We start from the raw sequence: 16581 nt of genomic DNA on the forward strand, positions 1-16581 counted from the left end.
GCCAGCGGCAGTGGGAGAGAACCACATGCCTGTCCTTGACTGTCCTGTGGGATGGACATTCTAGGACCCACTACTGTGCCCTTTGAAATGCTGAGCCTGACTCCTAAAGATTCAGTGCATGGCTGACACCCTATCCAGGCCCAGCTGGCCTCAGGTATTACCAAGAACACACTCAGGGCTGCCGGATGGTCTGTTCTGTCACTGCCACAACACCAGCTGGCTCCCAGCCACTGCCCCTTTTGCCTGGAGGGATGCTGGAGTCTCCTCACTGGTCCTCCACTGTCTACTCTTACCCCAGAACAACCCATTCTTCACGCCGCTACTAAGCCACAAGGGTGACCTCAAACACACATGCCAGGTGCAGTAAGCCCCGCTCACCAACTGATGAGGGGTGCCCGGCTTCTCTCTAGATTCCTAAGGCCCTTTGGGGGCCTGGATCCTGAAGGCACCCAGCCAGGGAAGCTGCAATGGATGCCTCATTTCTCTCCAGACCCACCCCCTGTGGTGAGCAGAGATGCAATCTTACTGACAACCAGAGTGAGGCTGGCATTGCAATGATGGCCCCATCAGGGAGGGATATGGGAGGAAGGTTGGGGCACCAGGCCCCCCAGGCCAGGTCCTTCCAGGTATACAGTCTCTTGGGGTCCCTGGCCCACCTTGCGGGTCAGGTCTGGTTATCACCATTCAACACATGGGGAAACTGAGGCTCTAGCATGAAATAAACCACCAAATTCTGGTTCTGTTCAAGGTTCTGCCACCTGCTGACTGTGGCATTTCCACTAGGTGTTGCCTTGCTCTGGGCCCCTGCCCGTGAGTTCACAAAATCAAGGAACCAGGGAAGAGGCTCAGGAAGAGGAAGGGGGAGGTTGCACCTAGTCTCAGAGCTCACAGTCACTAAGAGAGGGGGAGGGAGAGACCCAGAGAGATAGAGGCAGAGACATAGAGATAGACAGTGAGACAGACACACACGGAGAGACACAGAAGTAGGAGGGAGCTGAAGGGGAAAGCAAAGGTGAAGGGAGCAGTGTCAAACTTGGGGGTCTGAGGAGAGGACTGCCTGGAAGAGATGATGGCAGCAAGAAATGTGTGCAGCGAGGTTCCTGGAAGCAGATGTCATCATCGGTAGTTTGGGAGGGGCTGAGGGTGAGCCCCTGATGGAGGGTGATAGAAGGGCCAGGCTGATCAACCGTGATGGCAGTGCGGGGAGGCAGGGCATCAGGGGACATGAATGCTCCAGCTGAAGCACCGAGGCAGGGCTGCGTGCCCAGATCTTTGGCACCCATGTCTAGGAGAGCTGTGTGCTGAGTGGAGCCTCAGTGCCGTGTGTCTCCCAGATCAGAGCTGCCCCCTGTGACCCAAACCCGGCTCTCTCAACAGGTGGCACCTGCAGCACACAAGCCATGAGCCACAGATCACTCCAGGCCCCAGACCGCAAACCTAATGGTCTCAGGGGTACTCAGACTACAGACTCTGCTTCTTCCAGCCTCACAGGTGGCCCAGCAGCTGGAGGAACGGTTATATGGCAGCACTAACCCTATCCATCTGGGTCCCAGGTCAGTAATGCCAGTGCTCAGGTTCACCCAGGTTTGCCCTACCAGGCAAAGGGAGCACCAGTTCTACCCTTCCACGCCACATTCTCCCAAAGCCACAGGCCCCTCTGCCCACCAAGGCCGGGGCAAAGGAAAACAACAAGCCCAGAATACACCAATTCAACTGGGATGCCTGCCAGGAGGAGCCAATCTTGATGCTCTCCTGGGTGTGAGCACCCCAGGGTGTGGGAAGAGCCAGGGTGGATGTAGGCAAAGAGGGTGCCACTCCTCCCTGAGCCAATTAGCAAGCAGACGTTGGGGCCTAGAGGGCACTAGAGTCCAGGCAAAACCGTTTGGACAGCATGGTGCCTCCTGGGTCACCCGCACAGGCACCTCTGGGACTGTAGTAGGGACTGATCACAGCCCTGCCCAGGAGTTCCTGACAGCCAAGCCTCAATGCAAATGCTCATCCTTTCCAACTGCTCCCGGCTCGGTCCCTCCTCTGCTACTCTTAAGTCCTTGGGTCCACAGTACACAACCGAGGGGTACTGGTTTGCAATATAATTAGGTCTGGACCCTGGAGGTCTAGTCCAACCCCCACTTTATAGTGGAGGGCCCAGGTGCCAGAACGCAAGCCACTGCCGCCTCAGTCACTCAGTGCTGTGGGGCCCGGACGGGACCAGAATCCAGGCCTGACCCCATGACCTTGCTTGTCCACCACAACACGTGCAAAGCCCTTGCCTCTCATGCAGGAGGATCCTGGCAGCTCCTGCGATCACGCGGCTGCTGCTGTCCTCGAGGCTCTAGGATTCTTCCTCCTCCTAGCTTTACCTGGTGTCTGTCTCCCTCAAGATCTAAGGAGCTGCCAAGAAACAACGAGGCAGATGGGTGGGGTGGGAGGAAGGCATAAGCCATGTCCCCCCTAAACCCCTGGGCCAGCGCTGCTCTCCCTCGGGATCTCAGTTTCCTGTGTGTAAAATCCGGAGCTCCTGGGTGACCTCTGAGGCTGCGCTGCCAGCCGCCTCCTGCAGAGTCTCCCATCCCCTCTGCAGAAGCGGCCTCGACCCGCGGCCACACGGTGGCGCCAGACCCTAAGCGTCGCGGAAACGCCGCTCCAGGCAAGTGATCTCATCCCACAGGCCCGCGCCCTCTTCTGCCAGGGCGCGGAGTGCAAGCCCAGAGGTGCGCTCCGAGGGGGGAACCAAGGCAGGAGACTCAGGATTGGCTGCCATTCCTCCAAGCCCCCTCCTTCTCCACCTTCCAGGCGGGTTCCAGAAAGCTTACCGCACCGTTCTCCAGGAAGGTATCTCTTGGGAGAGAAGACACCAACTCTTCTCCCGGACTTGCTCCCAAAGTCGGTGTCACCTCCTGTCACGCCATATCTGCCCTAAGAGCCTCGGATCATGAAATACACGGGGGTGAAAGCAGCAACGCCACGTGTCCTCATGGAGCACAGTCTCAAGAAAGCTGGGCCTGGTCTATGGTCTGCGGGAATGGCCAGTCTTGAGCAAGTCACCTCCCATGGCTGGGCCCCGCTATTCCCATCACAGGAGGGGCAGGCAGGAGGGATCTCCAAGCCTCTGTCAACATCTTATAACTTTGTCTTTCTTCAGGTGAGTGACCTCACAGAGCACAAAGGATGGCCTAGCATCTTTATAAACAATAATGCCTCATGTTTGTGTGACATTCACTTGTGCCAGGCTCTATTATGGGCATTTGGCACATATTACCTCATTTAATCCTCACAACACCCCTATGAGGTAGCTGCAATATTACCTACTAATTATTCATTTTACAGGTGCAGTATTACCTACCAATATTCATTTTACAGACAGCAAACTGAAGCACTGAGGTTAAAACATTCGCCTTGCTCTTCCCAGCTAAGTAGCTGAGCAGGGCTTCAAGCCCAGGCAGTCTGGCTTTGGGGCCAGTGCTGTTGACTGCTCCTGCCCACGCACCTCCCAGAGGTAGACCATGTGTCTCCTTACTTCTGAACTCAGTCCAACTTGCCTGACAGTGGGGAAGAAAGGAGTTTGCCCAAAACACCTGGGCTCCCTTCCAGCTCTGCCACCTGGCTGTGTTACCTTGAGGGACATTTCCTAACTTCTCTGAGCCTTAGTTTCCTCATGTATAAAATGCCTAGACCAGAGTAGAACCCAGGACATGATGGACGAATGAATGCATACCATAGTGCCCCCTCAGAGGGTCACAGGGGCCTTAAATAAGACCATGCCTGTGAGCACAGACAGGAGGTTAGAAGTCACCATGCAGATGGCAGCCATTACTGCTCCCTGAGGTGCCCTGTTCCTGTGTTCCCTCCAGCCCACTCTGCTTATATCTTTCTAGTTCTATCTCCTTTCCTTACTTTGTAAGCCATGGAATTGTTTAAAGCTCCTGTTCCCTCCAGCAGAAGTATCTAGTCCTCTGAGCACAGCTTTCTGAGGGAGACACGGTTGTCATCTTCTTTTTCCTGCTGGCTCGTCTGAGGCTCAGAAAGACTAAGTGACTTCCCTGAAGCCACACCGTCAGTCATGGTTCAGGAAAATCAGAGAAGGTCTCGTCCAAACTATGTTGCCCCTCTGAGGTTGGCTATGGCTCTGCCCAAGACTGGCTGGGGTAGAAAATAAGTGATTTCTACAAGGGGCAGGGGGCTAAACATTCACCTATCTGGGCCCACAGTCTCCAGCTGCTTCTTATGACACTGTCAGAAACAGCACTGAAATCTCTGATTGTGGATAACAAACCACCTTCAAAGCCCCAAACAGGGGTAAGCTCATGTTTTGTGGGGTCTGAGGCTTAGAGAACCCTTCTTTAAGGAAAATGGTAAATTCTACCAAACAGAGTAGAAATTGCACCAACTGTACACAATCTTTTCCAGAAAATAAAAAAGGAAGAAACACTTCCCTATTCATTTTATGAGGCCGGCATTACTCTGATACAAAAGCCAGTCAAACACAGTACAAGCAAATAAAACTACAGACAACATCTCCCATAAACATAGATGCAAAAATCTTCAACAAAATATTAGCAAATTAAATCCAGTAATATATGGAAAGAACAATGTACCAGAACCAACTGGGGTTTATCCTGGGAATGAAAGGCTGGTCCAATATTCAAAAATCAATCAATGTAATCTATGACATTAATAACCACACATCATAACAATTGATACAGAAGTAAAAGGTAACACAATTCAACATCCATTAATTTTCTCAGCAAACTAGAAATAGAAGGGAACTTCCTTAACCTTATGTAGATAAAGGGCATTTATGGAAACTCCCAGTTATCTTCCTTAATGATAAAAGACTGAATGCTTTTGTCTTAAGATCAAGAACAGGGTTATGATGTCTACACACACCACTCCTATTCAACATCATACTAGAAGTCCTGTTCAGTGCAGTAAGTCAAGAAAAATAAATACAGAAAGTATATGCAGATTGCAAAGGAAGAGGTAAAACTGTCCCTATTTGTAAATGACATGATTGTCTAGATTGAAAATCCTAAGCAATCCTAAGCAAGAAGCTCATATAAATAATTAGTTAATTTAGCAAGGTATCACAATACAGGGTCAGCCTGTAAAAGTCAATTGCGTTTCTATAAATGATTAATGAATAATTGAAAATTTAAAAATTAAAAATATATACCACTTAAATTAGCTCCGAAAATGAAATTCTTAGAGACAAATCTACTGAAACATGCAGGATTTGTATGCCACAGCTGCAAGATGCTAATAAAAGAAATCAAAGAAAACCTAAATGATACAGAGACATACCATGTTCAGGGATTGGAAGATGCAATATAGTAAGATGACAATTGCCCTCAAATTAATCTACAGATGTAACACAGTTCCAATAAAAACCCAAGTGGAATTTTTTTTTAAATACAGACAAGCCAATTCTAAAATTTATATGAAACTAGAATAGTCAAAACAATTCTAAAAGTGAATAAATTTGAAGAACTCACACTACTCGATTTTAGGATTTACTATAAAGCTACAGCACAGTGTAGCATTGGCCAAGAGAGAAACATAGATCAGCAGAACAGAAGAGTCCGGAAGAAGACCCATATAATTATGGCCAATTGGTTTTTTACAAAGGGATAAAGACAATTCAATGTTGATAGTCTTTTCAACAAATGATGTAGTAATAATAAGTCATTCATATGCAACAACTAACTTAAAATGTATCATAGGTTAACGTGTAAAACCATAAAACTTTAAGAAGAAACTGCAGGAGTGGTTCTGTACCTTGTATCAGACAAAGAGTTCTTAAATGACAGCAAAGGCATGATCCATAAAAAAAACAAAAAAGATAAACTTTATCAAAATTAAAAGCTTTTGCTCTGTGAATGACATTGTTAAGAGAATGAAAAGACAAGCTACAGATTGGGAGAAAATATTTGCAAATCACATATCAGACAAAGAACTTGTAGCTAGAATAAACAAAGAACTCTTAAAGCTCACTAGAAAAAAACAATCCAATTTTTTAAATGGGCACAAGATTTGAACAGATATTTTACCAAAGAGGATACACAATAGCAAATAAACATGGGGAGAAGGGAGCTCAACGTTACAAGTAAATAGGGAAATGTATATTAAAATCACAGTGAAAAAAACCCCACAATGAGATAGTACTTCATATCTGTTAAAATGGCTAAATAAAAACACTGACACTATCAAGTGCTGTCACGAATACAGAGCAACTAGAATGCTCATATATTGCAGTGGGAATGCAAATGCTTCTGACACTCTGGAAAACAGTGGACAGTCTCTCATAAAGTTAAACATACTCTCCACATATGACCCATAGTTCCCTTTCTAGGTATTCTAGAAATGAAGACTTATGTCCACACAAAAATGTGTGCACAAATGTTTTAGCAGTTATTTTCTTTTTCTTTTTTTTTTTTATTATACTTTAAATTTTAGGGTACATGTGCACATCGTGCAGGTTAGTTACATATGTATACATGTGCCATGCCGGTGCGCTGCACCCACTAACTCGTCATCTAGCCTTAGGTATATCTCCCAATGCTATCCCTCCCCCCTCCCCCCACCCCACCACAGTCCCCAGAGTGTGATATTCCCCTTCATGTGTCCATGTGATCTCACTGTTCAATTCCCACCTATGAGTGAGAATATGCGGTGTTTGGTTTTTTGTTCTGGCGATAGTTTACTGAGAATGATGATTTCCAATTTCATCCATGTCCCTACAAAGGACATGAACTCATCATTTTTTATGGCTGCATAGTATTCCATGGTGTATATGTGCCACATTTTCTTAATCCAGTCTATCATTGTTGGACATTTGGGTTGGTTCCAAGTCTTTGCTATTGTGAATAATGCCGCAATAAACATACGTGTGCATGTGTCTTTATAGCAGCATGATTTATAGTCATTTGGGTATATACCCAGTAATGGGATGCCTGGGTCAAATGGTATTTCTAGTTCTAGATCCCTGAGGAATCCCCACACTGACTTCCACAACGGTTGAACTAGTTTACAGTCCCACCAACAGTGTAAAAGTGTTCCTATTTCCTGACTTTTTAATGATTGCCATTCTAACTGGTGTGAGATGATATCTCATAGTGGTTTTGATTTGCATTTCTCTGATGGCCAGTGATGATGAGCATTTTTTCATGTGTTTTTTGGCTGCATAAATGTCTTCTTTTGAGAAGTGTCTGTTCATGTCCCTCGCCCACTTTTTGATGGGGTTGTTTCTTTTTTTCTTGTAAATTTGTTTGAGTTCATTGTAGATTCTGGATATTAGCCCTTTGTCAGATGAGTAGGTTGCGAAAATTTTCTCCCATGTTGTAGGTTGCCTGTTCACTCTGATGGTAGTTTCTTCTGCTGTGCAGAAGCTCTTTAGTTTAATTAGATCCCATTTGTCAATTTTGGCTTTGGTTGCCATTGCTTTTGGTGTTTTGGACATGAAGTCCTTGCCCACGCCTATGTCCTGAGTGGTAATGCCTAGGTTTTCTTCTAGGGTTTTTATGGTTTTAGGTCTAACGTTTAAATCTTTAATCCATCTTGAATTGATTTTTGTATAAGGTGTAAGGAAGGGATCCAGTTTCAGCTTTCTACATATGGCTAGCCAGTTTTCCTAGCACCATTTATTAAATAGGGAATCCTTTCCCCATTGCTTGTTTTTCTCAGGTTTGTCAAAGATCAGATAGTTGTAGGTAAGCGGCGTTATTTCTGAGGGCTCTATTCTGTTCCATTGATCTATATCTCTGTTTTGGTACCAGTACCATGCTGTTTTGGTGACTGTAGCCTTGTAGTATAGTTTGAAGTCAGGTAGTGTGATGCCTCCAGCTTTGTTCTTTTGGCTTAGGATTGACTTGGCGATGCGGGCTCTTTTTTGGTTCCATATGAACTTCAAAGTAGTTTTTTCCAATTCTGTGAAGAAAGTCATTGGTAGCTTGATGGGGATGGCATTGAATCTGTAAATTACCTTGGGCAGTATGGCCATTTTCACGATATTGATTCTTCCTACCCATGAGCATGGAATGTTCTTCCATTTGTTTGTATCCTCTTTTATTTCCTTGAGCAGTGGTTTGTAGTTCTCCTTGAAGAGGTCCTTCACATCCCTTGTAAGTTGGATTCCTAGGTATTTTATTCTCTTTGAAGCAATTGTGAATGGGAGTTCACTCATGATTTGGCTCTCTGTTTGTCTGTTGTTGGTGTATAAGAATGCTTGTGATTTTTGTACATTGATTTTGTATCCTGAGACTTTGCTGAAGTTGCTTATCAGCTTAAGGAGATTTTGGGCTGAGACGATGGGGTTTTCTAGATAAACAATCATGTCGTCTGCAAACAGGGACAATTTGACTTCCTCTTTTCCTAATTGAATACCCTTTATTTCCTTCTCCTGCCTGATTGCCCTGGCCAGAACTTCCAACACTATGTTGAATAGGAGCGGTGAGAGAGGGCATCCCTGTCTTGCGCCAGTTTTCAAAGGGAATGCTTCCAGTTTTTGCCCATTCAGTATGATATTGGCTGTGAGTTTGTCATAGATAGCTCTTATTATTTTGAAATACGTCCCATCAATACCTAATTTATTGAGAGTTTTTAGCATGAAGGGTTGTTGAATTTTGTCAAAGGCTTTTTCTGCATCTATTGAGATAATCATGTGGTTTTTGTCTTTGGCTCTGTTTATATGCTGGATTACATTTATTGATTTGCGTATATTGAACCAGCCTTGCATCCCAGGGATGAAGCCCACTTGATCATGGTGGATAAGCTTTTTGATGTGCTGCTGGATTAGGTTTGCCAGTATTTTATTGAGGATTTTTGCATCAATGTTCATCAGGGATATTGGTCTAAAATTCTCTTTTTTCGTTGTGTCTCTGCCCGGCTTTGGTATCAGAATGACGCTGGCCTCATAAAATGAGTTAGGGAGGATTCCCTCTTTTTCTATTGATTGGAATAGTTTCAGAAGGAATGGTACCAGTTCCTCCTTGTACCTCTGGTAGAATTCGGCTGTGAATCCATCTGGTCCTGGACTCTTTTTGGTTGGTAAACTATTGATTATTGCCACAATTTCAGCTCCTGTTATTGGTCTATTCACAGATTCAACTTCTTCCTGGTTTAGTCTTGGGAGAGTGTATGTGTCGAGGAATTTATCCATTTCTTCTAGATTTTCTAGTTTATTTGCGTAGAGGTGTTTGTAGTATTCTCTGATGGTAGTTTGTATTTCTGTGGGATCAGTGGTGATATCCCCTTTATCATTTTTTATTGTGTCTATTTGATTCTTCTCTCTTTTTTTCTTTATTAGTCTTGCTAGCGGTCATTCAATTTTGTTGATCCTTTCAAAAAACCAGCTCCTGGATTCATTGATTTTTTGAAGGGTTTTTTGTGTCTCTATTTCCTTCAGTTCTGCTGTGATTTTAGTTATTTCTTGCCTTCTGCTAGCTTTTGAATGTGTTTGCTCTTGCTTTTCTAGTTCTTTTAATTGTGATGTTAGGGTGTCAATTTTGGATCTTTCCTGCTTTCTCTTGTGGGCATTTAGTGCTATAAATTTCCCTCTACACACTGCTTTGAATGCATCCCAGAGATTCTGGTATGTTGTGTCTTTGTTCTCATTGGTTTCAAAGAACATCTTTATTTCTGCCTTCATTTTGTTATGTACCCAGTAGTCATTCAGGAGCACGTTGTTCAGTTTCCATGTAGTTGAGCGGCTTTGAGTGAGATTCTTAATCCTGAGTTCTAGTTTGATTGCACTGTGGTCTGAGAGATAGTTTGTTATAATTTCTGTTCTTTTACATTTGCTGAGGAGAGCTTTACTTCCAAGTATGTGGTCAATTTTGGAATAGGTGTGGTGTGGTGCTGAAAAAAATGTATATTCTGTTGATTTGGGGTGGAGAGTTCTGTAGATGTCTATTAGGTCCACTTGGTGCAGAGCTGAGTTCAATTCCTGGGTATCCTTGTTGACTTTCTGTCTCGTTGATCTGTCTAATGTTGACAGTGGGGTGTTAAACTCTCCCATTATTAATGTGTGGGAGTCTAAGTCTCTTTGTAGGTCACTCAGGACTTGCTTTATGAATCTGGGTGCTCCTGTGTTGGGTGCATATATATTTAGGATAGTTAGCTCCTCTTGTTGAATTGATCCCTTTACCATTATGTAATGGCCTTCTTTGTCTCTTTTGATCTTTGTTGGTTTAAAGTCTGTTTTATCAGAGAGTAGGATTGCAACCCCTGCCTTTTTTTGTTTTCCATTTGCTTGGTAGATCTTTCTCCATCCTTTTATTTTGAGCCTATGTGTGTCTCTGCACGTGAGATGGGTTTCCTGAATACAGCACACTGATGGGTCTTGACTCTTTATCCAACTTGCCAGTCTGTGTCTTTTAATTGGAGAATTTAGTCCATTTACATTTAAAGTTAATATTGTTATGTGTGAATTTGATCCTGTCATTATGATGTTAGCTGGTGATTTTGCTCGTTAGTTGATGCAGTTTCTTCCTAGTCTCGATGGTCTTTACATTTTGGCATGATTTTGCAGCGGCTGGTACCGGTTGTTCCTTTCCATGTTTAGCGCTTCCTTCAGGAGCTCTTTTAGGGCAGGCCTGGTGGTGACAAAATCTCTCAGCATTTGCTTGTCTGTAAAGTATTTTATTTCTCCTTCACTTATGAAGCTTAGTTTGGCTGGATATGAAATTCTGGGTTGAAAATTCTTTTCTTTAAGAATGTTGAATATTGGCCCCCACTCTCTTCTGGTTTGTAGGGTTTCTGCCGAGAGATCCGCTGTTAGTCTGATGGGCTTCCCTTTGAGGGTAACCCGACCTTTCTCTCTGGCTGCCCTTAACATTTTTTCCTTCATTTCAACTTTGGTGAATCTGACAATTATGTGTCTTGGAGTTGCTCTTCTCGAGGAGTATCTTTGTGGCGTTCTCTGTATTTCCTGAATCTGAACGTTGGCCTGCCTTGCTAGATTGGGGAAGTTCTCCTGGATAATATCCTGCAGAGTGTTTTCCAACTTGGTTCCATTCTCTGCATCACTTTCAGGTACACCAATCAGACGTAGATTTGGTCTTTTCACATAGTCCCATATTTCTTGGAGGCTTTGCTCATTTCTTTTTATTCTTTTTTCTCTAAACTTCCCTTCTCGCTTCATTTCATTCATTTCATCTTCCATCGCTGATACCCTTTCTTCCAGTTGATCGCATCGGCTCCTGAGGCTTCTGCATTCTTCACGTAGTTCTCGAGCCTTGGTTTTCAGCTCCATCAGCTCCTTTAAGCACTTCTCTGTATTGGTTATTCTAGTTATACATACTTCTAAATTTTTTTCAAAGTTTTCAACTTCTTTGCCTTTGGTTTGAATGTCCTCCCGTAGCTCAGAGTAATTTGATCGTCTGAAGCCTTCTTCTCTCAGCTTGTCAAAGTCATTCTCCATCCAGCTTTGTTCCGTTGCTGGTGAGGAACTGCATTCCTTTGGAGGAGGAGAGGCGCTCTGCGTTTTAGAGTTTCCAGTTTTTCTGTTCTGTTTTTTCCCCATCTTTGTGGTTTTATCTACTTTTGGTCTTTGATGATGGTGATGTACAGATGGGTTTTCGGTGTGGATGTCCTTTCTGTTTGTTAGTTTTCCTTCTAACAGACAGCACCCTCAGCTGCAGGTCTGTTGGAATACCCTGCCGTGTGAGGTGTCAGTGTGCCCCTGCTGGGGGGTGCCTCCCAGTTAGGCTGCTCGGGGGTCAGGGGTCAGGGACCCACTTGAGGAGGCAGTCTGCCCGTTCTCAGATCTCCAGCTGCGTGCTGGGAGAACCACTGCTCTCTTCAAAGCTGTCAGACAGGGACATTTAAGTCTGCAGAGATTACTGCTGTCTTTTCGTTTGTCTGTGCCCTGCCCCCAGAGGTGGAGCCTACAGAGGCAGGCAGGCCTCCTTGAGCTGTGGTGGGCTCCACCCAGTTCGAGCTTCCCGGCTGCTTTGTTTACCTAAGCAAGCCTGAGCAATGGCGGGCGCCCCTCCCCCAGCCTCGCTGCCGCCTTGCAGTTTGATCTCAGACTGCTGTGCCAGCAATCAGCGAGACTCCGTGGGCGTAGGACCCTCCGAGCCAAGTGTGGGATATAGTCTCGTGATGCGCCGTTTTTTAAGCCGGTCTGAAAAGCGCAATATTCGGGTGGGAGTGACCCGATTTTGCAGGTGCGTCTGTCACCCCTTTCTTTGACTCGGAAAGGGAACTCCCTGACCCCTTGCGCTTCCCAGGTGAGACAATGCCTCGCCCTGCTTCGGCTCGCGCACGGTGCGCGCACCCACTGGCCTGCGCCCACTGTCTGGCACTCCCTAGTGAGATGAACCCGGTACCTCAGATGGAAATGCAGAAATCCCCCGTCTTCTGCATCGCTCACGCTGGGAGCTGTAGAGCGGAGCTGTTCCTATTCGGCCATCTTGGCTCCTCCCCCCAGCAGTTCTTTTCATACTTGCCTACTATCCTTCCGCAGGTGAATATATAAACAATTATGGTAATCCATACTGTGGAATACTACTCAGGAATAAAAAGGAACAAACCACTGACACACACAACAACCTGGATGAATCTCCAAGGCATTATCCTAAAGGAGTGAAGTCTGTCTCGATAGTTATATACAGTGTGATTCCACTTATATGATATTCTGCAAGGCCAGAGGGATGGAGAACAGATTGGTAGTTCCCAGGGAGTGAAATTAAGGCATGATTTGCTTAAAAGTGGGCACATGGGAGAGTGTTCTGGGGTGGTGGAACTGTCCTGTGAGCTGATTATGGTGGTGACTATGTGAATCCGCGTATGCACTGAAACTCAAAGACCTCTACAAACACACATACAAGTCAATTTTACTCTATGTAAATGTTAATTTACAAAATTGTCCAAAAAAGAATCTTAAATTTTTAAAAAATGTAAAGAAAAAGAATACAAAATTACTTATTCAAAATTGAGTACAGGGTCCCATTAGAGGCCCATAAAAGTGAGGGGCCCTAAAGCTTAAGCTTCAGTGGGGCCGCAAGAAATCCATCTGTCCCCGAACACTATCTGCAAGGACCTTTTCCTGCTTCTCCCAGGACCTGCTTCTCCCAGGACCTGCTTCTGCAGCCTTCTGGAAGGAATGAGCTCACAAACCCTGGATGGAAAGGCCCAAAGGAAACTTCACTCCCAGCACAAGCAAGTATGAGGGCTTCAGAACTTCCGCTCCCCAGTAAACAGCTGACCGGCCCAACCAGGCAAGAAGGAAGGAAGGAAGGGCAGGAAGAGCCCTGGCAGAGAAGAATCCAGGCCCGCCCACCACAGTTCCTGCTTCTCTCCCTCCTAACGAATGTCTCTTTGGGCCTGGCCCCAAGGACCAGTGACTGAGAGGAACACTCTACTGATGACTTCCCAAGGCTACGCTGACCTGCTCGAGGAACAAATGGGTGGGGATCACCAGGATTTAAGGGACAGCTGCTCCCACAGTCCTATCCTAGAGACCCAGGCCCCTGGGGACAAGCCAGCTCCTGAGAGGGGTGACCTCACTGCCTACTTGGGCACCTGACCTGCACCCAGTGGCCTTAGCAATCTCTAGCTCTCACCCCTCAAGCGGCTTATTCAGAAACCTGATTCTATGAGCGCTTGTATCCCACCTGGGAGTGGTGGTCACGCAGAAGGGGCCTAAGACTCCAGGCTGGTTCGTAAAGCTTCCCCTAAGTCGCTGGGTTCTTGAAATTCCTGCCCTAATGCAGAGCTCTGCTTTCGACCAGAGACCAGGGGCCTCGCCCACCTTCAGGCCTCCTGGGCACTGTGAGCAATGCAGAGCTGTCCTCAGAAGACATTCCCAAGGCCAGGGGCTGGGCCCTGCTGCCTAGGAGGTTGTCAGGCGTCCTTGGGAGAACTGCTCTTCATTGTGCATCTCCAGCTTCTCCCTGGGCTTCGGGGGTCCACAGCAGCCAGCCTCCCCCTCCCCCAGGTGTGTCCCCTGAGTGTGCACATCGTAGCACAAGGGGTGTCAATCCTGGCTGCACCTGAGAAGCACCTGGAGTGTTTGCGAGAAATCCTGCGTCGACGTGTAATGCAATGTGCACCTTTCCAGGGAGGGCCTAGTGGGCAGGACCATGTCTGTGCTGGTCACTGGCATGGCCCCTCATGTAGCAGAGCGCCTGGCACATGGTGTGCCCTGGACCCACATTAGTGAAAGAAAGAAATGGAGGAAGGGAGAGGGAGAGACGGGGAGGGAGGGAAGTGCCTAAGCTGAGAGGTGGCATCATGAGCAGGAACAAAGCAGGTCTGGGCACCACACTCACAGGACTCTCACTGTAAGTTACTTAGCTTTCCTCCTTGGTCAACATTCGAGAATGCCACATAGCTCATGCCTTCAGGGCTCCAGGTTCAGGGCCCGCAGTAGTCACTGTGGACAACCTACAGCATTCCCTCCAGAGCCCATGTGCCAAACCAGGAGGGCTGCAGCCCCAGGAAGCCATGGGAAACTGGCTGGGCAGAGGCCATAGTAGGCCCCGATTTTCACCTGTGTCCCCCAAGTGGCATAGCAAGCCCTAGCAGAAGGCTGAGTTCCGCAGGGGAAACCCCTTTTTGATCTCTTTGTCGGCACCTGCAGACGGCTGGTCCGGGAGCAGAGCTGGTTCAAAGCCACGCAACACAGGTCCCACCCTCCTCCTGGGGCTCCCAAGATCTCACCAGTGGCTTCTCCCCACTATCCCAGGAGCTGCCTTGGCCAGCAGCAGTGTCACATATTCAGGACACAAACAACCTGTACGCGACAACCAGCTGTACCCCGAGATGTCACACACATCCCCTTTGCAATAGGCCGGCGGGCCCATCACCAGCAAACTGCTTTGTTCCATATGTGGTAGGTGCTGTGACCCACTGATTCTTTCCACCAGATATCGATCAGAAGGGCAGCCCCTTCCCTTCAGCTGCTCCTTGCCATCAGCTCCAGGCTTGGTTATGAACAGGATGCCAAGGCTGGGGTCACGCAGGGACATAGCTCTGGTCCCTGTAGCCACAGTGACTCGGCCACCGGGCCAGGCTTCTCAGACACCCAGGGAGGAGGTGAGGGGGCTCCTCGATGACTCCTGGAGGAGACTCAGTGGAGAGGAGTCTGAGGAGGCCACCTTTCCCACTGCCTTATGACACGGAGACCCCTCCAGGCCCTGTCCAACAGGCTCCTTCTACCCTCTCTCCTGTCCTTCCTCCGGGTTCACAGCCTCCTCCCACCGACACCCTCCACCTGTGCCCCCCTCCCCAGGCAACCCTTCAGCCCTTGACTGTCTGCAGGTTGGTTCCCTGGGGGCAGGAACAGAGGGGACGGTGTCACAACCACAACCACATAAAGTGATACCGCTTAGGAGCACTCAGCACTTGCAAGGCCTCCTGCTTCTGCCCTGACCCCAGGATGGGCACCATGGGCCCTGTGGAGATGGAGAAACTGAGGCAAAGGAACTGGCTGATGGCATCCAGCTGGGTCTGCTGACCCCATGCACTGGGCTGTTGCCAAGCACCTGTGTGAGCTGAGGTTAAGCTCGGCCACTCCTGCAGGACCTTCAGCCCCGCAGGCAGTCTCTGAGCCTGATTTTGCCCTGCACTGGGTCCCCAGCCCCTACCAGAGGCCTGCTCCTGGGAAGACCCACAGGGCATGTGCTGAGGGACTGTGTGGTAGGGCTGGGCTTCAGCCCCAGCCTCCTGACCTCAGAGCCTACAGTCTGTGTGGCTACGTGGCCTGGGGGCTCATGGGTGCTGAGTGCTGTGGAGGTTGTGAGGAGGCTGGGGAGCTGAGACCCCCCACCCTCGACCAGCAGGGCCTTAGAACATGTCAAATGCAACCCTTGGGCTCACAAAGGGAGCCCTGGAGGCCCCAGGCCCAAAGTCACAGCAGCACATAGAACCCCAACGGCCCTTCCACGGCTGCCTCTGCCCCAGCAGCCAGGCCTGTGGGCTGCACTCCGACCCCTTTGTGGCCAAGAACTGTTCAAGCTCTTTCCAAAAAGACTCAGAAAGCCGACCTTAAAGGCAGAGCACAGCTTTTCTCTGAAGCTGATAATGACACAGTTATCCCCTCTGAGGGATTTTTACTCAAACCATCTTTACTCTTATCCTGGGAGGATGCAGGTGCACTATCTCACACATACACACAACCGCACCCATACACACACCTCCCACATGAACACACACACTCGAACATACCACACACAGTTGCATACACACACGGCATTCACAATATGCATACACTTTACACACAGCGTACTCAACACAAAGTACATCCACCCACATGGTCACACTCCACACAGGTGCATTGTGTCTGACAGAGCACACACGCATGCAAACTACCAAATATCCATACATGCAACACACAGCTCAGCTTCCATCTATACAGATACGTGTGGACACACAGTCACATCCGCCACGGCCCTGAGTCCACAGCCAGCCTGGATTGCTGTGGGCGAGGTCTCTTGCCTGTGCTTCCCCTCCTGCTCCCAGGACTTCCTGCTCCCAGGACTGCCTGCTCCCGGTCACTCGCCATCACTGTGGCCTCCACAGGGAGGCAGAGAGACCGGGCACACAGAGCAAAAAGCCAAACTCACATTCAGCTGTTGGACT

At 47.7% G+C, this 16581-nt stretch overlaps 1 protein-coding gene across 2 annotated transcripts in view, besides 2 other annotated features; it reads right to left on the reverse strand.

Annotated features, from left to right (window-relative positions):
* Positions 1-16581, reverse strand: part of XKR6 (XK related 6) — a 305789-nt gene that overhangs the window by 29959 nt on the left and 259249 nt on the right. The window lies entirely within an intron of this gene.
* Positions 2364-3058: an enhancer, noted in NCBI's record as "H3K4me1 hESC enhancer chr8:10785877-10786571 (GRCh37/hg19 assembly coordinates)". NCBI's record gives its function as "activates a minimal SCP1, AML or CMV promoter by ChIP-STARR-seq in naive H9 embryonic stem cells {active_cell/tissue: H9 hESC(naive)}" and the evidence as "EXISTENCE:reporter gene assay evidence [ECO:0000049][PMID:30033119]".
* Positions 11488-12139: an enhancer, noted in NCBI's record as "H3K27ac-H3K4me1 hESC enhancer chr8:10795001-10795652 (GRCh37/hg19 assembly coordinates)". NCBI's record gives its function as "activates a minimal SCP1, AML or CMV promoter by ChIP-STARR-seq in primed H9 embryonic stem cells {active_cell/tissue: H9 hESC(primed)}" and the evidence as "EXISTENCE:reporter gene assay evidence [ECO:0000049][PMID:30033119]".

This window comes from Homo sapiens, chromosome 8 (assembly GCF_000001405.40).
Source record: "Homo sapiens chromosome 8, GRCh38.p14 Primary Assembly".
In the NCBI taxonomy this organism is placed as follows: Eukaryota; Metazoa; Chordata; class Mammalia; order Primates; family Hominidae; genus Homo; species Homo sapiens.